Here is a 23,159-nt window from a genome sequence, read left to right as displayed (position 1 = left end):
CAGACCTGCGACAAAAACCTGGTTACCCTCTTAAAGAAAACGGTCGACGAAGGTGGGATTCGAACCCACGCGTGCAGAGCACAATGGATTAGCAGTCCATCGCCTTAACCACTCGGCCACCTCGTCCTTCTGGGGAAAATGTGTTTTTGGGATACTCCTTTAAGGCTTGCTTTTGACGAAGACTTGCAATTTAATTATGGTGATATGTTGATATGTATTGTAATGTCCTTCAAACTGTGGTCTCCTTAAAGAATTCTTACGCAAAACAAGTTCTTTCCACCTTCATATGGAGAACCTTTTACAGTTTAATGATCGTGCCCAGCGCCCGTGTGTCCAGTCTTGAGTGTCATCGTTCCTCCGTATCCATTCTAGCTTTCCAACTACAGTGAATTTTTTTTCTCCCCAAGCTCCATGCTCTCCTTCTCATTTTCCACCCTCAGCACTCTTTTAACTCTTCTCTTTGCCCTCACTTCACCTGCCTTAGTTCATTACTCATTCCTCAGATCTCATGTTAGGCCTTACAGTCCTTCTTACTGAAGGCTAAGCAGCTGAAAATTGAGGCGGCGGGGTGGGGTGGGGGGAATCCTTTTTCTGCTGCCAATGTATTTCTTTTCTGTTTCTGCCACAGAATTTTATCCCAATATTATGTATTTTTATGCTTAAAAACGCTATCATAACTGACAGCAACGGAAAATACTTATATAAATTGAAACCTCTAATTTTTTTTTTATGTCCATTGACCATAAATCCCCAAGAGTTTCACCGTTTTTCTTCTGGTTTGAATTACCTTTACATTCAATGGTGGCACACAATAACAAACACAAATCAACGATTTTGGTAAGTAATTTAGAATACACGAAAAGTAGAGTTGCATTGGAAATGCATCTTTTAGTGAAATGGCTGTTAATATTTTTTTCTCCATCAATTCATTGTCCGCGGATAAATACTTCTTATAGCCGGAATAAGAAAGGTTCAGTGGAATTAACAACAAAAAGATCAGTAGATTGTGGTTTTGAATAAGTCCGAGCCTTCCAAAAGGTGTTTTTATGATTATTTAAGGTGCATTATTTAAAGTGGAATCTTCAACACATTCTCATTACGTTTATCTAAATTTAATAAATAAATTTTAGCAATAAATAAAAGTGATGGCGAGCAGGAGATTTGGGAGGACGTAAAATATATAACTTTACGGATATCCATATTTGTATTTGTATTCATATTTGATAAAAGTCCAAGAATTTTCCTACGAGTCTCAATAATTGTAAAAAAAAATGAAAACACTAACTTTCCATGGCCCAATATGTACGTTCCGTTTTGTTAAAAATGGAATGTTATTAGTCGGAAGTAAATGAGGAATTTGTCAGTTCCTTCATAAAATCGTGTAAAATACGCAATTGAGACACACATCTCTGTGTCTTGTTTACAGAAGACTTTGGAGACACCAGCATTTCCAGTTGTTCTGTCACGGTAAGATATTATCTAAAAGGCGAGAATGATTTGCAGGGGAAGATGGAAGTAGGGAGCATTCACATCCCATAGGGAGCTAGTGCGCGGTAGGGGAGACACATATGGGGAAATGTTTCTTTGTAGCCTCTAGGATCTCGTGGTCTCCGGCCCAGCAACCCTGTCGCTAAGCTTCTCGGCTGCACCGGGCGCTGGCTTCTCTGACATTCCTTAGCGCAAGAGCTTTTTCCTGTTCACATTCCCTGCCTTCTCTCCTCGCTCACAGCTTTCTTCTTTCGTCCCCGCCTCTCTCCAAAACCAAACCGCCCCAGCAATTTCCGGGTGACTGAACTTCTACAATCTGTCTAAGAGGGTCCGAGCTCTGAAACCCCTTCTTCAGGAGCTTGTCCATGCCCAGACGGAAATGCCAAGAAAGCCGAGTTGCTGAGCGCCCAGCAATGAGCTCAGGGAACCCTCACTAGGAAACGCTGCGGGAGGTTGGTGGCTGGGGAGATTGGCGGGGAGAGGGCGTAGAGTAAACTCTGTTATCCTGGGAAAGGGAGTCTTTTCAGCTCATTTCCCCCTCTTCTCTGTCCAAGTAAAACTTGCTTGTGCAAACTCGAAACAGCATCTATCTCTATTGACTATTGACTATCGCCAGTTGTATCTTTCCCGTCACCTGTTCTATCTGCCCAGCCCTCACAAGTTGAGCTTCTATCCCCTTGTGGTCTTGTCTGAGGACAGTTTTCTCTCGGCTTCGGCGACTGTCACCTCTCCCAGACCCATTTAGTGGGTAAGTCCTTTCCTCAGTTTCCATCCCAGCTTTTCTCTGTTCGTGACTATCACCAAATTTCCTTTCTCTCTTCTCACTAGCCTCCTATCTATTGTCTCCTCACTTGTTTGCAGATCTTTTCTGGAGACTTTGATTTGCAGTTCCAGCAGGACTCGAGCGACTGCCTCGTGCATTTCCTTTTGAGGCTTCTCTCTTTTTTCTCCAAAGAACAAATTGTGCGCAGCAAAAAGAAAGTTATTATTTGGTTGGCAGCTAAAGATACTCCGCTCAAGAGATGTGACGTGGAAATACCAGGAATAAAATTTGGTCGAGTGATTTGTATGAGCAACAGTATAGATTGTGGAGAGACGATGGGGATTTGACTGCAGAGGACTAAATCCAAGGTTCCACCGAGATTTGAACTCGGATTACCGGATTCAGAGTCCAGAGTGCTAACCATTACACCATGGAACCTGAAGCTGAACTAGCATTTCCTAAAGTCATAGGTGACCTATTTCTCCACTTTAGGTTCCTTCCCTCCGCCCCATAGTTTGGGTGATGGGTGCATTCTGCTTTTCCTCTTGGAGGATTAAGTCAAGAAGACGCTTACCTGCCACATGCCTACATTCAACACCTTTTACACCACAGTCTTAATGGAAAACGTTGACTTCCAACTGTCAGGAGTCCTCTAATCCTAAACCACTCCTTTCAAGTGCTTTAGGAGCTTGGCGCCCCGGGCCTCGGCCTCTATTTCATCAATGGTAGACAAGTGAGATTGTTAAACAAGACTGTGTGCCAGGTGCCAGGCACACAGTATGCCAGGTTACCGTGTGCCAGTTTTTGTGACAAGTGTTTTCTATTGTTACCTTACCTGTGAGGCTCACAACCACGCTGTGAGATGGGACCCATAATCTCTATTTTACAGGTGAGAAATTTGAGTCAGATACCTGAGATGCTTTACTCCTTTTCGTTATAGATCTAATTATTTTCTCAAAAATCGTTTTTACCAGGGTAACATGTAGCGTTTTTAAGGACACGTTATGGAAAGATTTTACCGAAGTCACAGGGGAGCCACTTTGCTGTTTACAGAAAGCTGAAATAAATGCACTTGAACTACTGGGTTAGAGGAAGATCCCAGCAACCCTAGGATAGCAACTCAGGGAAAGAAGGGGAAGGGTAGACAAAGGTCCCTCTGGAGTTTCCCAGGACAGTGCATAGCTCCCCTGGTCCTTCCACTGCCCTTCACCAATGAGAAATATGTGCAGGGTAAACTTCCAAACGGACACAAAGAAAACTCCCTGCTTCTCCCTCGCATATCCCTTTGTGACACACACAGGAGCCCATGTGAAAACACAAACACAGACACACACACACACACACACACACACACAGAATCGGTTTCTGTGAACAAAACAAAACAAAAAGTCTGTGTTCCTTGTTTAAAGTGATAGCTTCCTCACAGGACAATGTCGTCTGTCAGTTAAATTCGAAAGGGTTTTCAGAGACACATATCCACAACCTTCTAAGGATTTATTCTCTTTATCTTGTGTCTCTACAATTTGAGAAAGAAGGTAGGTTTCAGGACTAATTTGGAAGGAAAATCTGAAATCAAATAAGCTTTATTTTTTTAAAAAAAATGCCAGTTATTTTTCCACTCCTTGAACTCTTCCCCGCCCCCCCCCCCTTTCATTAAGCAGGCTCCCAGTCTTGGAGGTCTCTGCTCTGAACAGCTTTCTGTCCCCAACCCTTATTCCTGGAGGAAACAGAAAGAACATTTAAAAAAAGAAGAAGAAGAAGAAGAAGATTATTACCTGGGGAGATGTAGCATTTCAGATGATTCGGAAACGAACTTAGGTTCTAGGTTCGTTAAGAAATGGGGACGGTTAATTTGAATCATCTTAGAGCATGAAAACCAAATTTCTCGAGGGGGGAAAAAGCCAAAGGCCCGTACGGGGATCGAAACCTCGACCCTGGCATTAGTAGCAGCACGCTCTAACCAACTGAGCTAACCGGCCGACCGCAAATCTGTGCTTTTGTTATTCATCTCACCCGCATCCTCGCCCCTTCTCCGTGAAAGTATTAAATTCTTCAACGTAATTCCTGTTTGTCTTACAGGGAGGAACAATTTCTTAGTTGCTTTAGAGTCTTAATAGAAATAACGAGAAATTTCCTCTTAACGCAAAAACAAAGCAAAATGGCTGTATTCGTAGACTTGAAAGAGGACGCTTAAACATTTCAAACTGTGGCTAATGGCCCAGCAATTTATGGAAATATTTGCTGCCTTCTGAATGTCTAGTCAATACATGCAGACAATGAATCAGATTCGGTGAAATATTAATGAGTCTTTGCTTCGTAAAAGCCGCTCACTAATACAACATACAAATTGGTACTTGAAGGATATTCCCAACGAGTCTGATTCTCGATGGTCCCATGATCGAGATCGTCCCAGGTTTCTTATGTCTAGATCCTCAATTTGGGAGTCTTCCTATGTGTTCCTTCAGATTCCTAAAGTGACCTCAAATCAAAGGTCGCTTCGAAGACCTTGGTATTGAAAAATGCTAGAAATGTGGTTCTAGTCACCATTCCAGGGGCCGTTAAACCCAATCGTTGTCTACTCAGCCATTGTTTCCCAAAAGCTTTACCATTGTTTTTAATGTCTTGTTTATCGTTCCAGAGATTTTGAATACATAGACAAAGTTACACAAGTGTTTTCTTTTTTCTCTTCATGAATAGTGGCATTTTATACACTTTTTAAGTCCCTTGCCTTTTTAAATTTTTACTTACAATGTACTTTTGCAAACTTTCCATATCAGAATAGACAAGTTTTCTTCATTCTTTTAAAAATATGTATAGTATTACATATACTATACACGTGTATACCTATGTAACAAACCTGCATGTTCTGTATATGTACCCCAGAATTTAAAGTATAATAATTTAAAAAATATATGTGTAGTAGTTGGCCAGGAGCAGTGGCTCACGCCTGTAATCACCGCACTTTGGGAGGCCGAGGTGGGCGGATCATCTGGGTCAGTAGTTGGAGACCAGCCTGGCCAACATGGTGAAACCCCATCTCTACTAAAAATACAAAAATTATCCAGGCATGGTGGTGCATGCCTGTAATCCCAGCTACTCAAGGGGCTGAGACAGGAGAAGGTCTTGAACTTGGGAGGTGGAGGTTGCAGTGAGTGGAGATTGTGCCACTGCACTCCAGCCTGGGCGACACAATGAGACTTCATCTCAAAAAAATAAATAAATAAATAAACTAGTATAGTATTCAATTATGTTAGTATATATCATAGTTTAATGGGCAGTTAGTTTAGTTTTCCATCGGCTATTGCAAACTCTTTATATCTATGAACATACACCATCTCTGATATCTGCCATGATACCTTGCATTCATGTGGAAAAGCTGCATCAAAGAGTAGTGCATTGGCAATTTTGACAGCCATTGTCCACCTGTGCTTTAGAGGGTTGATCCCAATATTCTTTTTCCTTGCTTGTTTGTTTTAACTATATTGAGCATAAATAGGACCCTGGGCACATTTCTACCCCTCCTTCTTCCTGAATTACAATCAGTGAAAATGTAGAGAAGTCATACTGGGGAATGTTTGTTTCTGGAATATCACCTTCTCTCAGTTAGGCGAGACTTTAGGAATGTGATAGAATCAGGTGGGAAAAGGAAGGGGCTGAATGGAGAGCAAGGAGAAGGGCCAGCAGAGGCCTTCTTTTCTGCACCTCAGAGAGAACAACATGGCCAAAACACCTGAGGGGAGAAGAGCTGAGACAGCGTCAGTGTGTCTGGTGATTAAGACTGAGCTGCAGAGTGATGTGCAAGTAGTAGGAGATGAGGCCTGAGGAGGAGAGAACATGTGCATGGTGCAGGACCCTCTAGTAGATTGTTATAAATAAATCAGGTTACTTTACTTGATGGTAAAGAGGATGGCGCACTAAAATTAACAGGCATGAATTGATCTATATTGAGTCTAAACTAAGAACTATGATTACTATGTATAGGCCAAGTTAAAGATTTTTGAATTGGCCCTACCAACAATGGGAATCCATGGAAGGATTTTAGGCAGAGAAGTCTCATGAACAGATTTGCATTTTGAAAAGATCTTTTTAAGTTCCTGTAACAGACAAGCCCATTGTTACTGGGCCCATGCTTAGTTTCCATCGCTGACATTAGGCTATTCAATTCATGTAATCAATCTGCCAGCACTGTAGTGGCTAATTATTAAAGCTAGCTGACAAAAACTGGTAGAATCATTCCAGTTAGTTAGTTGTTTAGTTCTTCTCTGGTGGACGCACTCTGGTTAACTTAACATGTGACACAAACATCTTCACACTTTGTGCCCACACATCTCCCCGTCTAGGATCCTTTCGAGGACCCCAGTGTATGTACATGCCGGGAAACACCCTAGCTTTACCCCATATCCACCTGGAGCGTCCTTAAGTGGAACTTTGCCATGCTTCGGAGGGAGCCAGGTTCACAGCAGTGAGTGAGCAACCAGAGCCCAGCCGGGACCTGGAGAGGCGGGTGCGGCCTAATGTTCCATGCAACGCTAGCTTCCCGCAAAAGTGCTACTACGCATTGACCCGCATTGGAAATGCTCCAAGCCAAAAGGCCATTAAACAAGGCGCCTGCGACCCTAATCCCTGACGTCTTTGTGGCGATCGGGACCATCAAGGGAAATGATCGTGGAGAAACAGGCGACGCAGTAACGTCTGCCCTAATTGAGCTCTCCCTGCAGAATCTTGTCTTACACATATTCCCTCCCCATTTTCTCTTCTTGTCTTCTCTAAAAGTCATGTGATTTTTGAAAATATTGTCTGACAATAAATGAATTGCTGGAGACTGGTAATGTTCACTCAAGTGGTCAGGGACTCTTGGTCTAGAAGCGGAGACTTTACTTACGGAAATCCCCAAGAGCCTCTCCTTGAATAAAGCCAGCAGGCGACAGTTCGCATTAGGAAGAGAGCAGAGACCCCTCCACCCCAATCTCGCCCCCTTTAAAGGCAGGGATCTCCTCCTATTCAGAACACTGCCGACAACATGCAGAGAGAAACACCTAATAGAACAGTATTCTGCTTTTGAAAGCTGAGAGTGATCGAGAGATCGTGCGATGGTGCCATTGTAAAGACGTCCACTGTCAAGGTCAGCTAAGGGAATCTTGGAAAACAGAAACACCCCGAAAAATTGCAAGTTGTTTCCGCTCGGTTTCGACCCGAGGACCTTTCGCGTGTAAGGCGAATGTGATAACCACTACACCACGGAAACCTGTGTGCTGCGTTGGCTTCCTTCGTTAAGGGAGAATTAAATTTTTCTGTTTCAGCTTTGGTAACATCGAGTTGATTGGCCTTTCCTTTCAGTAAATTATCAAGGTTACCATGCTTTTCTTTACTACAAAGTCCTCCATTAAAACTTTTTTTTTTCAGACGTGACTGGAGAATTTAAGAAAATTTCCCCTCAGATGCGAGGCTTGTTACTGTGGACGTTGATTTTTTTTTCTTTTTTTTTTGTTTTCACGGGGCAGAGGCAGGAATTCAGAAGAGTGTGATTTCGTTGTTGTCGATGTTTATGGATAAAAATGTAAAGAGATGTAATGTAGTAGACAAAAGTCTACATAGTGTAAAAGGAAGGGTTGCGGTGGCCAGAATATTGTGAACTTAAGTTGAGGCTCAAAGTGAATGTATCTCCTATCTTGATGACCAGATGTCTGCGTTTCCTGTCTGGAGATCTTCATATTGTTCTGGATATATCACGAGGGTAAGCATGTTTACAGAATTTGGGAAGGGCAGAGGACTATCAGGAAAGTGGAAAGGTTCTATTGTCTATCAAATACCTCTCTATACAGCATTCAATTTGTGTGGTTAATTAGTGTCTCACTGTGATGATTGTAAAAATCCTGTTCAAAGACACCAGTCTGCATTTTTCCTTAAAGATGTTGACCATGAAGGCCATTGTTATTTTCTGTTATTTTTAAAGGGAAGAATTCAATTCCTCTTTCCCTACTGATTACACAGTTTCTGCAATTGAGTCTCAAATCCGAGAAAAATAGGAAATAACTCTTTTACTAATTCTGCAATTTGGACAATTAACTATTAACCTCAGTTCCTTGTCTCAAAATAAGTTTAACATTTACTTTGTAGAATGGTATGGGTTCACATATTAGTCAACTAATATTTATTGTGTGTCCATTGCATATATGGGCATTGCAATGGACTGTAGGGTTTTATTAGTAAACGAAACCAGGCACTGCACCTGTCTTCTTGGAAATTATATTCTTGTGAGAGACAGACAGTAATCAAGTTATCATCCAAATTAATGCAGCATTTCCAAGAAAAGAGAGACATATAGTGCTCTCATTTAATATATATGAAGATTAATTTAGAAAGTTTAGGGGAAGAGTTCTCTGAGAAAATAATGATGCTCAAGTTTAAAGGTTGGGGAGATGTTAACTAGATTTAAAAGAGTGTTAAAGGCAAAAGAAATCTTATGTACCCAAACCCATGGTAAATAAGAGGGACCGATTTGCAAGTAGGACAGTGTGGTTGGAGAGAAAGGGGCGGTGGGGTATGAAATAAAGCTGAACACATGAGAGTCAGCCATGGAGAGGATTTCAGGTCATAATATTAAGGATTACCTTATTAAATAGCTATAAAATGTGTGATAATCGGTTCTTTTAAAATGCCAGTTTCTACCCTTTATCCTTTTGTCCTCTCAAAGTACACAGGATGTGAGACCTAGTGTGACCTAATCTCTAAGTTAAAACCAGCTAAATTTTCCCCCAAACAATTTGGGAATACTCAGAGAGATTCAGATCATGTGTATACCCTTAGCCAACTAAGAACAAATGCGATGGTCTCAGCTGAGAGCCTAGCAAATTTGACTCCCCTACCTAGAATTCCAGTTCTGTTCTCTCTCCGCCCCCACTCCCCTCCCCCATCCGGTGCTGGGCTCTGCAGATGCACTAGGATTTAAGACATTGAAGTGTAGGTGGACTAGGGAGGTTGTAGCACTTATTTTCTAGCCTTGTACTCAATCAGGCAGAAATCCTGCACTCCATATTTCTCATTTTTTAAAACCAAAATCGGTGACTAAAATACACTCCAGTAACTCAATATACCATTAAACCATTTCCTCCTCTCCTTTCTCATTTCAAATTCCTCAAACATCCCGGCAAATCCAGAGCCCGCTATGCACAGTTCTGATTCCGGGGGGAGTAGGGCTCCTCCTTGCAACCAGGACGTCTTCGTCCCCACCTTGAGCTGAGCCGGATGCCGAGTCCTTGGCAATATCCTGCACCGGCAGCTGCCAGTCTAGATACCCTGCCTGCGAGGGCCCCAATGCCCGATTTCGTGTCTGTCTGTCCCATAGATCTATTTCTAAATCACACACTCAAGTAAACTCATCCTAAGCCCACCTCAACCCAGGCAGGACTTTTCTGTGCCTAAATTAAACTCGCTGGAGCGGCGGCTCTATTGACAGTTGGATAACTGACAATCTCTGGCAGAGAGTGGCCGCCTGACCCAGGGAAACCTCCGCCTGGAAATACAGGTCGGAGTCCCGACCCCCGCGCTGCGCCCGGGATTCCTAGAAAGGTGAGACTTGGAGTTGACCCTGTTGCGGAAACACCTTAGCAGAGAGACGCAGATCAAGTTGGGCTGCTGACCAAGTCCCTGGAGGAATTGCTGGTGGTAAGAACAGGGTCGCGGCCGCAACCGCGGCGAAGGAAAGCAGAGTGAGGTTAAGTAGTCATCTCTATCCAAAGAGATCTGCCGCAGTTCCAGACAGGAAACTTTTCTTAGTAATCTTCTCCATTCCCTACTTCTTTCCACCCCACCCCCTCCACGCACGAATCTCCTGTGGAAGGTTTCTGAAAATAATTCTGTGAAGGAAAAAACAACAACAATAAATGTTTGCCAGAAATGGAAGAAACCTGGTAGCCTCGCCTCTCGTTTTTCGTTTATTTGCTTGTTTAGACCCTCTTCCCTCTTTCTTTCTTTCTTTTTTTTTTTCTGATTGCAAATTGTTCAGTTGCCATTTGGCCGTCTTTGTGAAGCGCCTGTTCAAATTTTTCACCCATACACCTTAAAGTGAAAATGAAAACAAAGCCTATTAAAGAAAATTTAGAAAAATCCTTTTTGCCTTTGCGATAGTCAAATGTTTTGTAGATTTGACAAAACAAGTAAGCATTTTTAAAAAGATTGAAACTATGGACTTCATCCAAACTAAACATTATCTTCATCAAAAGGCTATTGAGAGAGAAAACGCCAGCCTCAGACTGGAAGAAGGTATCCATGAGACAAATTTTTTGGAAAAGCTGTTGTTTCCACTGGATTTAAAAACCAGAATCCTTTCACATGCTAGGCGGACATGCTAATTATTACATTACAGAAACTCCCTGCTACAATCAGGCCTTTCACAACAGAATGAGATGATGATTCTTTAGATATACTCAAACCTAATAACTTTTAATGTTTTTCTTTTTTCTTTCTCTCTCTCTCTTTTTTTTTTTTTTTTTTTTTTTTGAGACGGAGTTTCGCTCTTGTTGCCCAGGCTGGAGTGCAGTGCTGTGATCTCAGCTCACTGCAACCTCCCGGTCCTGATTCAAGCAAGTATCCTGCCTCAGTCTCCCAAGCAGCTGGGATTACAGGCAGGTGCCGACACGCCTGGTTAATTTTGTATTTCTAACAGAGACAGGGTTTCACCATATTGGTAAGGCTGGTCTCGAATACCTGACCTCAGGTGATCCACCCGCCTTGGCCTCAAAAAGTGTTGGGATTACAGGCATGAGCCACTGCCCCCAGTCATGTTTTTCTTTATATTTTTATCCACTGTGTGTTTCTTTCCTTCATACTTTCTTTTTTTTTTTCCCCCTTTTTCTTCCCCCTGCCCCCACCCCCCCGAGATGGAGTCTCACTCTCTCCCTGGCTGTAATGCAGTGGCACGATCTCGGCTCACTGCAACATCCGCCTCCCAGGTTCAAGCAATTCTTCTGCCTCAGCCTCCTGAGTACTGGGATTACAGGTGTGCGCCACCATGCCTGGCTAATTTTTGTATTTTTAGTAGAGACAAGGTTTCACCATGTTGGCCAGGCTGGTCTCGAACTCCTGACCTCGTGATCCACCGGCCTCGGCCTCCCAAAGTGCTAGGATTACAGGCGTGAGCCACCGCACCCCACCCGGCCCTTTCCTTCATACTTTCTATTTGTTAAAATTAATGCTGTAGAAACTCCATGATTCATAACCAAATACAGCTCATAACTAGAGTCTAAATTTCTCCCCCAAAGCTAGGCAGAGTAAACACAGGGAGTTGATTTCAAGGAACTCTTTGATGTTTTCCTATGGCTTTGATTTCCAAGTCTCTTCTTGACCTTGAGGAGCCAGGAGGATCCAACACACTGAGATCTGGAGACCACTCAAGCTTCTGCAAAGTCAATGCTTGTCTGGAGGACAGTGTTGAGCAGGGGATGTGATGGGGGAGGGGTGAGCTGTGCCCAGTAGACTGTCAGAAGGTGATGACAAAAGAGGTGGCATCTGGGAATTCATGTGACTGGGAATTCATGTGTGGTGAGTGTATCTAGGAGTCATCGGTCATTCTATTGTTTGTGTCACTCTTACTGGTCTGGAAAGCACATGCTCAGTGATTATGTCAATCTGTTTAATGGACAGACGATGTACAACATTTGTCTATTTTTTATTCCTTTTCCTATGTCAACTGACAATTGTCACTGTCTTTTTTCCTTTTCCAGCATTTCCCGGGTATCTGGAAGGTGCTCAACAGTGAGATGGTGCTCTTCCTCCAAATCTGTTGACATGACAGGACAGTGCCGCTTATGAATCTCTGACAAATAGCAAAGTGGAAAATTCCTGCTCTTGGCAGCTAAAACTTGGATTGATCACAATATTTCAGGAAACAGAGAAGAAAGACAGTATTTCCCAGTTAGCAAGATCTTGAGTCTTATGATTTTTTTCTGACATTAAATCTGCAGCATAAATGGCATGAGTTTATTATTTTCAACAATTTGATTAGACATTTATTTCAAAGAAATTAATGAGTAGCCTACAATGTGCCCCATCCTGAGCTAGGCTCTAGCAGTAACAGATATCCTGAAAAAATGGACATGCCTGAGGTAGCAAAGGGCTCAACACTGATTTTTCATAATAAAATTACCCAAAACAGGGTGGTTATATTTTAAATTGACAAATGAAACCACAGAGATAAATACTCATGCACTATCATGGAAACATAGAAAAGGAGCAACTGTCACTCTAAATAATGAGGAAAAGCTTTCAGAAGAAGTGATAACTGATCCTGTAGCAGTATGAGCCGCAGACAAAACCTCTCAGACACTGAGTTGTAGAAGGAAGGGCTTTATTCAGCTGGGAGCATCGGCAAGCTACTGCCTTAAAATCCGAACTCCTCAAGTGCACAATTTGTGTCCCTTTTAAGGGCTCACAACACTGAAGATTTCACATGGCAGGGTCGTGATTGATTTGAGCAAGCAAGGGGTACTTGACAGGGGCTGCATGCACCGGTGGTCAGAGAGAAAGAGAACAGGGCAGGGAGTTTCACAATGTTTTTCTCTACAATGTCTGGACTCTATGAAAAACATCGGTTTCTAAGTCATGAGTTGATTTTTAACTACTAGGTTTAGGCCAGGCAGGCCCAGGTCTGGTTTGGGGCCTGGCGCCGGGCTACCTGTCTTTGATTTCACTTCCTTCTTTTTTTCTTAAAACAGGTACTGAGTATAAAACAATATAAAACAATATGAGAGGGTCTCTCTCTTCCCTCAATCCAAGACTTAATAGATGAAAAGTAAGAAATCGGCTGATGAGAGATGGAGGGGATAGGGGAATCTGGAATTAGAGGCAGCATGGAGAAATAAGTCAGTGTTTCGGGAAACTCCAAGGAATTCTAAATTTGAGGCAGGGAGTAGGAGAAAATAAGACAAAATGAGAAAATAAGGGTTAGACCAGGAATAAAGAGGACGATCTTTCACTTAACACTTTGGTGTGATGTGCTGTGGAGAGTTGGGAAAGTTTGAAGAAGAAAAATTATATTTTCCATTTCAAGCTAAAGTCTCAATGGCTGCTATGCAAATAAGAAATTTAGGGAAACAAATATGGAGACAAAGGAGCAAGGAAGGTTTTTCTGCATACGGTTAAGGTAAGGCCTCAGAAAACCTAATACTTTAATTGGATTACCTCAAAGAAAGAAAAGAGTCAATAGAGTAGATGTAATCATTGAAACGATTAACCAAGGAAAGTTTCTATAAACAGAAGCCTAGTATCAGACTTCTGAGCAGTAATATAAAAAATTAGATCAGCATTAAAAAATAAAAATAAAGTGTGAACCAAGAATTACATAACAAGCCAAGCTAATCTTCAAGAATCAAGATTATGGAAAATAACTAGGGAGGCTGAGGCAGGAGAATCGGTTGAGCTCAGGAGGCGGAAGTTGCCGTGAGCCCAGTTGTGCGATTGCACTCCAGCCTGGGCATCAAGAGAGAGACTCCGTCTCAAAAAAAAAAAAAAAAAAGATAGGACGACAACTAAACAATATCCTTTTTTCAAATTAAGGTATTAAGTGTTACTTAATACCCCCTCTAGCAGGTGGAATTATCTTGATGACTGCTTGGGTTCAGCGGTGACGATCTACAGTTTGTATTCAGACATATTTGTTGCGTTCACAGCGTTCACAGATGATTGATATAAATGATGAAAAGCTAACACCCACTGTGGCCCGTTCGGGGATCCAACCCGCAACCTTGACATTATTAGCACCACGCTCTAACCAATTAAGTTAACCGGCCACGACGCGAAGTTCACTTCCCTCTTAACAAGATATAAAAAAATAAACGATTTTTTCCCTCTTCAACTTTTTTTTTTGAGACGGAATTTCGCTCTTGTTGCCCAGGCTGGAGTGCAATGGCGCGATCTCGGCTCACCGCAACCTCCGCCTCCCGGGTTCAAGCGATTCTCCTGCCTCAGCCTCCCGAGTAGTTGAAATTACAGGCATGCGCCACTATACCCGGCTAATTTTGTATTTTTAGTAGAGACGGTTTCTTCTTGTTGGTCAGGATAGTCTACGAACTCCCAACCTCGGGTGATCCGCCCGCCTTGGCCTTCCAAATTGCTGGGATTATAGGCGTGAGCCACCGCGCCCGGCCTCAAGCAATTTTCTCATTCGAGTTCAAAATGGATCATAAAGCAGCGAAGACAACTCGCAATATCAACAATGCACTTTGGCCCAGGAACTGCTAATGAACGTACAGTGCAGTGGTGGTTCCAGAAGTTTTGCAAAGGTGAGAAGAGCCTTGAAGATGAAGAGTTGTAGTGGCGGGCCATGGGAAGTTGACAAGACTAATTGAGAGCAATCAGCGAAGCTGATTCTCTTACAACTACGAGAGAAGTTGCCAAATAATTCAACGTCGACCATTTTACCGTGCGGCATTTGAAGCAAATTGGAAAGATGAAAAACCTTGGTAAATGGGTACCTCATGAGCTGAGCGAAAAAAAAAAAGGGCCGTTCTGAAGTGTCTTCTTCCTTTATCCTACGCAACAAGGAACCATTTCTCCATCGGATTGTGACGTGCGATGAAAAGTGGATTTTATACGACAACTGGCGACGACTAGTTCAGTGGTTGGATCGAGAAGAAGCTCCAAAGCACTTCCCAAAGCCAAACTTGTACCAAAAAAAGGTCATATTCGCTGTTTGGTGGTCTGCTGCTTGTCTGATTCACTGTAGCTTTCCGAATACCCGTGAAACCATTACATCTGAGAAGTATGCTCAGCAACTCAATGAGATACATCGAAAACTGCAATGCCTGCAGCCAGCATTGGTTAACAGGAAGGGCCCAATTCTTCACAACAACGTTGACTCGACTGCACGTCGCACAAATAACGCTTCTGAAGTTGAGCGAATTGGGCTACGAAGATTTTCCTAATCCATCATATTCATCTGACCTCTCACCAATCGACTACCACTTCTTCAAACATCTCCACAACTTTTTGCAGGTAAAACGCTTCCACAACGAGGGGATGCAAGCATTTTCTGTCCAATCCCGAAGCACAGATTTTTACCCTCCAGGAATAAACAAACTTATTTCTTGTTGGCAAAAATGTGTTGATTGTAATGGTTCCTATTTTGATTAATAAAGATGTGTTTGAGCCTAGTTATAATGATTTAAAAATTCATGGTCCGAAACTGCAACTACTTTTGCACCAACCTAAATGTTAATTTTAACGAATTGAAAGTATGAAGGAAGAAACACACTGTGGATAAAAATATACTAAAAAGAAAAACATATTAAAAGTTATTAGGTTTGAGTATATCCAAAGAATCCTCCTTTCATTCTGCTATGGATTGCTGCACAGAAGAGAAAGTTTTTTGGGGTGTACTGGTTAGCACATCTGCCTACAAGAAAGGGGTCTCAGATTTGAAACTGATTAAAGCCATAGCTTTTCCAAAAAGATTTCTCACTTTATCGAGAAATACAAATATTCACATTCTCTAAATGCCAAAGTCTTCCCGTTCTCTCTGTTGTTCCAAACTTAAATATGAAAAGTTTTCCCAGTTCTTCTGGAAAAAGGACTCTGCCAGATTGGGTCTAGGCCATTTTGTCATTTAGGCAAAAGGTGCTGTTAAGTCTACATATTACCATTATACACACACACACACACACACACACACACACACACTCTGTGATCCTTCTCTGAAAACACTTATATGTTTTGAGGTGTTAATTTTGCCCACTTTGAAAACTAAAATAGGTAAACAATTTGTCAAAAGATAACATGTGTGTTTTAAATTTATATGGTTAATAAATCAGTTCCTACATTCCAACATTTAATGTCAATTATGATTTATGGAGTAACTTTATTAAATTTGTGCCTCCTTTCACCTTTACTGTTTGTTTTTGCACACTTTTAACTGCTGCATGATTTATCACACATTTTGGCCAAGATTCTTCCCCTTAGTGAGTTATGTCTTTATTCACAGTAGGAGGAAAACGTGATTCTACAGAAAAATGTATTTTCATGTATTTTATGATATTAAAATAATAGAGTGACATTAAATTTTAATTAAATAATATTTTATAATGTGACATATTATAAATTATTATAATAATAAATAATATAAGTAATAAATAATATTTAATATTAAATATTATTTTTAATAAATAATAAATAAATAATGAATAATTATGACATTAAAAATAATAGAGTACTCATTACTAATCCATGCACACATCAGTACACAATATAAATATATAAGAAAATACAATGAAACTGAAACTATGGTAGATTAACAGACTGCAAAAATTAGTGATGAGCTCACAAGTACACCAATAAAAATGTACACACCCATGATAAATTGGAAATGATACTTCCAAGGCACAGGGAAGCTAAACGCATTTCTCTATCCATTCATCCATTGGTGAACACAAGAATTCCATATCTTGGCTGGGCGCCGTTGCTCACGCCTGCAATCCCAGCACTTTGGGAGGCCGAGGAGAGCCCAGAAGTTCAAGACCAGCCTGGGCAACATGGTGAAAACGCGCCCCTACTAAAAATACAAAAAAAAAAAAAAATCAGCGGGGTATATTGGCATAGGCTTGTAATCCCAGCTACTCGGGAGACTGAGGCACAAGAATCGTTTGAGCCCGGGAGACAGAGGTTGCAGTGAGTCAAAATCGCACCCTGGGCGACAGAGAGAGATTCTGTGCCACCAAAAAAAAAAAAAAAGAAGAATTCCATATCTTGGTGGTATGCAGATAATCTCTTGGACATACTGATTTCACTTCCTTTAGCTATATACCCACTAGAGAGTTTGCTGGATCATATGGTATCTCTATTTTTAATTTTTTGAGGAACCACAATACTGTTTTCCATAATAAATGTTATTAGTTCTTTAAATAGTTGGTAGAATTCACTAGAGACGCTACAGGTCCTGGGCTTTTCTTTGATGGGAGATGTTTTTATTGCTGATTCAATTTCCTTATCTACTATTGGTATGTTCATATTTTCTGTGTCTTCATGATTCAGGCTTGGTAGGTTGTGTATGTCTAGGAATTTTTTTTTCATTTTTCCCAGTCCTTATCCTGCCTGGCAGACAACTGGACACACTCGACTCCCGGGCCCTCAGTTTCTTCCCTTCGAGCACCGCCCAGCACAAAGAGCGGGCCGTTTCCAGGGTTCAATCCGCTGCCTCCCGGCTATTTTCTTGTGGTAATTTTCTGCCTCCCAAGAGATGGAGATCACAGAGCCTTCTGCTGTTGGAGAAAGCCTAACAGAGGGAGTACTTTAAAAAAAATGTCCTCTACTGGGGGGCTGTGTAAAATTTCTGTGCTGTGTTTGAAAAGAAAATTTTCCCCAAGTCGCAGTATTTTCTTTGTATGACTCGTGAACTCCGATATTACTGATTTTAATAAATAGGAAAGCTTATCAACCTTGATAATTTCCTGAAAGAAAAGATCAATTCGATGTTACCAAATCTGGGATATCCAGAAAAATTTTCTTCTTCTCCTAGGAGAAAAACTATCAAATGTCAGGGCTTCTGTAGTGTAGTGGTTATCACGTTCGCCTCACACGCGAAAGGTCCCCGGTTCGAAACCGGGCAGAAGCAACCTGTATTTTTGAGGAATCCTTAGCTGAATTTCTCAGTGCACGTTTTTAGAATTGCACCCCCGCACCATCTTTAGCCGTTTAGGAGAGAAGGTTCTCCTTGTCACCTGTGGTGTGCATATAAACCGAAGTACACCTGCCGCCTTTCTCCCACCAGAGCCCTTCCTGTTTTCGACAAGGAAAAAGCCCTCTTCAAAGCCAAGTGTCCGTGGCTACTCGGGTGGACATGAACAGACCCGAGCAATTTTTTGCCGAACAAATTATTATTATTATAATTGATGCTCTCATCGCCTGATCCCCACAAAGACCTCAAGGACTTGGTTCGCAGGCAACTTGAACGATCTTTCCGCTCAGGAACATTTTTCCTGGAGGGTCAAGGCGAGGCCGAGACTTTGCCGAAAGCCACCCTTTCCGGGAGCACTGGGCCAGAACCGCCCCTCCAGGTGCAGGCTGGGCTCCAGTCGCTCACTCGCTGCTCGTAAGCCTCGCTCCATGGGATCATCACAAGGTTCCACTGAGACTCAGGACGCTACAGGAAGATTTGGAGTGGGATTAGGGTGTTTTCCTGTGTGTACATGTACTGAGGTCCTCGAAAGGAACCTGGGCTGGCAGATGTTCTTGCTGAGCTTTCCTCCCTACCGGGACTCAGAGTCCAGCTCGGAGATTACTGCACTCAGGCCAAGGCCAGCCCCTGTGGGTAAATGGAGCCTGCCGGCTCTAGATATATGGAACCGTTTGCGGACTTTTTTTTTTTTTTTTTTTTTTTTGAGGTATAGAAGGAGCCAAACAGCCACTTGCCTCTTTTACGATTTAGTCACGAAGAGATCAACCAGAATCCTAGAAAAGTTATTCCCAGGTGGGATGAATTCATTATATGAAGGAAGCGGCTCTGAGTAGAGCAAGTGGTAGACTGTAATGGATATGATGGTGTTCTACCTAGAACCCAATGGTTTTCTACATTGCCCAATGTTTTGTGGAGCAAGGTACTCAGACACCCAACATCCTGGAGTGCTGTTTGCTGCTAACTCAAAGCTCAGCTCTTCCCAGGAATTGTTCTAAGCTAAAAAGCTACCCTGTTTAAGGTTATATCTTTTCTCTGGGATCAGCCTACATCTAAAGCCACGTCTATGAGTGGGTACAATGACCCAGCTCCTTTTCCCCAATTCAGGACATTTCTAAAGGATCATTGTAGCTCCAGAGCTCCCCATGGGAATGGTTGAGTCCTCTTTTGTATATCATTCCTGGATACACAATAGACTTCCTTCATGAAAACTATATCCTGGAGTCTGTTTCTCATAGAATACAATAACCTAATGCAATCTTTTTTTTTTTTTTTTTTTTTTTTTTGAGACGAAGTCTCGCTCTGTCGCCCAGGCTGGAGTGCAGTGGCTCGATCTCGGCTCACTGCAAGCTCTGCCTCCCGGGTTCACGCCAGTCTCCTGCCTCAGCCTCCCGAGTAGCTGGGACTACAGGCGCCTGCCACCACGCCTACCTAATTTTTTGTATTTTTAGTAGAGACGGGGTTTCACCATGTTAGCCAGGATGGTCTCAATCTCCTGACCTCGTGATCAGCCCGCCTCGGCCTCCCAAAGTGCTGGGATTACAGGCGTGAGCCACCGCGCCCGGCTAATGCAATCTGAATATAAAACCGAATATAGTCCCCTATAGTCTATTTACAAAAGACCTACTAAAAGCAGTATTTTAAAGCATGTATCAGATTTGCCTCTCCTAAAATCAGAATTATACAATAGCTTCCCGTTCTACTTGAATTAAAGCCAAATTCCTAAGATCTCCTACAAGATCCTATATACTCCGATCCTTCATTTCTCTCTGATCTCATCTCTATTACTGTCTCCCTCTCTTGTACTCTGGCCACATGAACCCTTTTACTGTTCCTCAAACATTCCATGCAAGTACCCACCTTTAGACTTTTATAGTGGTTGTACTCTGCTTGTGACACCTCACATGTCAGGTGGCTTGATTGCTCCTTTTCTTCCAGTCACAATCTTATTAAGGCTATACTAACAACTCTAGCTTTCCAACCTACTCTCATCACTCCAGTTCTTCCTACCTGCCTCTATTTACCAATCACATTTAACACCTTCTTACACATTTTATAATTCACATTTTTATTATGTTTGTTATTTATATCTGTTTCCATACTCTATGAGGGCAGATATTTCATTGGCCCGGTACTAGTGATGTGTTGCTATAGTTCCCTGATGCCTGTCAAGTGTCTAGAACTGGACCTGTGCGGTTGTTACACAAAGTTAAAGAGATCTTTTTAAAACGTGAATCTGGCTGGGCGCGGTGGCTCTCACCTGTAATCCCGGCACTTTGGGAGGCCGAGGCGGGTGGAACATTTGAGGTCAGGAGTTCCAGACCAGTCTGGCCAACATGGCGAAATTCCGTCTCTACTAAAAATACGAAAAAAAAAAAAATGGCTGAGTGTGGTGGCGCATGCCTGTAATCCCAGCTACTGAGGAGCCTGAGGCAGGAGAATCGCTTGAACCCGGGAGGTGGAGGTTGCAGTGAGCTGAGATCGCTCCACTGTACTCCAGCCTGGGAGACAGAGTCAGACTCCGTCTCAAAAATAAATAATAAACAAATTTTAAAAATGTGAATCCGTCCATGTGACTTTTCTGCCTAAAATCCTTGCATAGTTTCCCATTGTTGTTAAGACCAATTCAAAAATCCTTAACTTGGCCTATAGTGATCATAGTTCTTAGTTTAGACTTAATGTAGATCAATTAACACCTGATAATTCCTTTTTTATTTTTATTTATTTATTTTAGACGGAGTCCTGCTCTGTCGCCCAGGCTAGAGTGCAGTGGCGCTATCTTGGCTCACTGCAAGCTCCGCCTCCCAGGTTCACGTCATTCTCCTGCCTCAGCCTCCCGAGTAGCTGGGACTACAGGCGCCCGCCACCAAGCCCAGCTAATTTTTGCATTTTTAGTAGAGATGGCGTTTCACCATGTTAGCCAGGCTGGCCTCTAACTCCTGACCTCAGGTGATCCTCCCACCTCGGCCTCCCAAAGTGCTGGGATTACAGGCGTGAGCCACCGCGCCCGGCCAATTTATTTTTAGTGCCCCATCCACTTACCATCAAGTATTCTGATTCATTTATAGTAATCTACTAGAGGGTTTTGCATCATGTATTGATAAATGTTCTTTCTTCCTCAGACTTCATCTCCTACTACTCGCCCTGTACCACTCTGCAGCTCAGTCTTAATCTCCAGACAGAATGACGTGTCTTAGTTCCTGTCCCTCAGGTGTTTCTGCCCGTGTTGTACTCTCCTAGGTGCACAAAATAAGGCCACTGTTGGCTCCTTCTCCGTGCTGTCCCCTCAGCCCCTTCCTTCTCCCGCCTGATTCTATCACATTCCCTTTACGTCATTACTTGTACCCCCAAAACAATGTTCCAGAATCTAGTATGCCCCAACTAGACAATCTACATACCGATTGCCTAGTTTCGCTTCGAATTTGTAGCAGGGAATTCAGGAAGAAGGTGTAGAAATGTGTCCAGGATTGGCCGGGCGCAGTGGCTCACGCCTGTAATCCCAGCACTTTGGGAGGCCAAGGGGGCGGATAACCTGAGGTCAGGAGTTCGAGAACAGCCTGGGCAACACGGTGAAACCCCGTCTGTACTAAAAGTACAAAATTAGCCGGGAGTGGTGACACATGCCTGTAATCCCAGCTACTCGGGAGCCTGAGGCAGGAGAATCGCTTGAACCTGGGAGGCAGTGAGCCGAGATCGCGCCATTGCACTCCAGCCTGAGCAACAAAAGTAAATCTCCGTCTCACCGGAAAAAAAAAAAGCAAAAGAAAAGAAATGTGTTCAGGATCATATTAGTGCTAAGTATAGTTAAAACAAACAAGCAAGCAAAAAGAGTATTGGGATCAACCCTCTAAAGCACAGTGTGACAATGGCCATCAAAATTGCCAATGTACATGTTCTTTGATGCAGCCTTTCCACATGTGCGAAGTATCATGGCATACATCAGATACGGTGTATGCTCATAGATACCAAAAATTTGCAATAGGAGGATGGAAGTCTAAGCTATGCCTATTAAACTATGGTATATACTCATATAGCTGAATACTATGCATATTTAAAAGAGAATGAACACTTTTCTGTTGTGATATGAAAGAATTGCAAAAATATATTCTGAGTTAAAAAAAAAGCAAAGGATTTAAAAAGTAGATAAAATGCCACTATTTGTGAAGAGAAAAAAGAAAACATTTGTTTAACTTTGGCTATGCGTTAAAAATCTCTGGAACGATAAAGAAGATATTAAAAACAATTGTAATATTTTTAGGAGACAATGGCTGGGTAGAAAGATCGGTTTAACCGTCCCTGAAGGGTGAGTAGAGCCACATTTCTAGAATTCTCCAATACCAAGGTCTTCAAAGTGGGCTTTGATTTGAGGTCACTCTGGAAATCTGAGGCAACAGGTAGGGAAACTTCCAAATGGAGGCTCCGGGCATGAGAAACCTGCCTGGGACGATCTCGACGGTGGGACCATCGAAAACAGACTCGTCGGGAATATCCTTCAGGTGCCAATTTCTGGGTTGTGTTAGTGAACGGCTCTTACAAAACAAGGACTCGCTAATATTTCACCGAGTCTGATTCATTGTCTGCACGTACTGATTACCAGACATTTAGAAAGCAACAAATGTTTCCATGGATTCCTGGACTATTCGCCGCAGTTTGAAATTTTTAAGCGTCCTCTTTCAACTCTAGGAACACGGCTTAAAAAATAAAATAATAAAAATAAATAAATAAAAAATGTTATTTCCTTGTTTTGTTTTTGTTTTAAGAGAAAGTTTCTCATTCTTTTTATTAAGAATCTAAAGCAACTAAGAAATTGTTTCTTCTTGTGAGACAAACAAGAATTATATTGCTGAATTTAATGCTTTCCCAAAAAAGGATGAGTGTCGAGATTAAGGGCGGGGGGTGGGGGGGGAAGAGCTGCACCCAGCGTCGGCTGGTTAGCTCAGTTGGTTAGAGCGTGGTGCTAATAACGCCAAGGTCGCGGGTTCGATCCCCGTACTGGCCACGTATTTTCCCCAGTAGTTTTTTATGGCAGTTCTGCAGAAACTCGTCGGTTTTCAGCCAGCGAAGGGCTACGGATAATTAACGATGCAAATCGTCGGTTTTCAGCCAGTGAAGAGCTGAGGGTAATAAACAATGCTCTCAGATGGTCCAAATTCGCTGCCATCATTTCTTAATCCATCTGAATTCTAACTCCATTCCCGAATCACCCAAATTTCTACATCTTCTCAGGTAAAGTTCTTATTCTTTTCC

General features: G+C 42.4%; 5 non-coding genes and 2 pseudogenes across 5 annotated transcripts, besides 3 other annotated features; 2 read left to right on the top strand and 5 right to left on the bottom strand.

Moving 5' to 3' along the window:
• Positions 1-44: 44 nt before the first annotated feature.
• Positions 45-126, bottom strand: TRS-GCT2-1 (tRNA-Ser (anticodon GCT) 2-1). The gene has a single exon. It is a non-coding gene; the product is annotated as a tRNA-Ser (tRNA).
• A 2,491-nt stretch (positions 127-2,617) lies between these two features.
• On the bottom strand, positions 2,618-2,689 carry TRQ-CTG5-1 (tRNA-Gln (anticodon CTG) 5-1). Its single transcript has one exon. It is a non-coding gene; the product is annotated as a tRNA-Gln (tRNA).
• TRS-ACT1-1 (tRNA-Ser (anticodon ACT) 1-1) lies at positions 4,157-4,230 on the bottom strand (annotated as a pseudogene).
• Positions 6,266-6,911: an enhancer, noted in NCBI's record as "H3K4me1 hESC enhancer chr6:27258990-27259635 (GRCh37/hg19 assembly coordinates)". NCBI's record gives its function as "activates a minimal SCP1, AML or CMV promoter by ChIP-STARR-seq in naive H9 embryonic stem cells {active_cell/tissue: H9 hESC(naive)}" and the evidence as "EXISTENCE:reporter gene assay evidence [ECO:0000049][PMID:30033119]".
• Positions 7,424-7,496, bottom strand: TRV-TAC4-1 (tRNA-Val (anticodon TAC) 4-1). The gene has a single exon. It is a non-coding gene; the product is annotated as a tRNA-Val (tRNA).
• Positions 13,964-14,037, bottom strand: TRI-AAT10-1 (tRNA-Ile (anticodon AAT) 10-1; annotated as a pseudogene).
• TRV-CAC2-1 (tRNA-Val (anticodon CAC) 2-1) lies at positions 17,780-17,852 on the top strand. Its single transcript has one exon. It is a non-coding gene; the product is annotated as a tRNA-Val (tRNA).
• Positions 18,430-18,656: a silencer, noted in NCBI's record as "fragment chr6:27247245-27247471 (GRCh37/hg19 assembly coordinates)". NCBI's record gives its function as "represses an EF-1alpha promoter that drives an FKBP-Casp9 reporter gene in an ReSE screen in K562 erythroleukemia cells {active_cell/tissue: K562}" and the evidence as "EXISTENCE:reporter gene assay evidence [ECO:0000049][PMID:32094911]".
• Positions 21,470-21,640: a silencer, noted in NCBI's record as "fragment chr6:27244261-27244431 (GRCh37/hg19 assembly coordinates)". NCBI's record gives its function as "represses an EF-1alpha promoter that drives an FKBP-Casp9 reporter gene in an ReSE screen in phorbol 12-myristate 13-acetate-treated (for megakaryocytic differentiation) K562 erythroleukemia cells {active_cell/tissue: K562(+PMA)}" and the evidence as "EXISTENCE:reporter gene assay evidence [ECO:0000049][PMID:32094911]".
• Positions 22,838-22,911, top strand: TRI-AAT3-1 (tRNA-Ile (anticodon AAT) 3-1). Its single transcript has one exon. It is a non-coding gene; the product is annotated as a tRNA-Ile (tRNA).
• Positions 22,912-23,159: the final 248 nt, after the last annotated feature.

The sequence above is a fragment of the Homo sapiens genome, chromosome 6 (genome assembly GCF_000001405.40).
Source record: "Homo sapiens chromosome 6, GRCh38.p14 Primary Assembly".
Taxonomy (NCBI): Eukaryota; Metazoa; Chordata; class Mammalia; order Primates; family Hominidae; genus Homo; species Homo sapiens.
The sequence above is the reverse complement of the archived record's forward strand: the minus strand, read 5'-3'. Positions and strand labels throughout refer to the sequence as shown.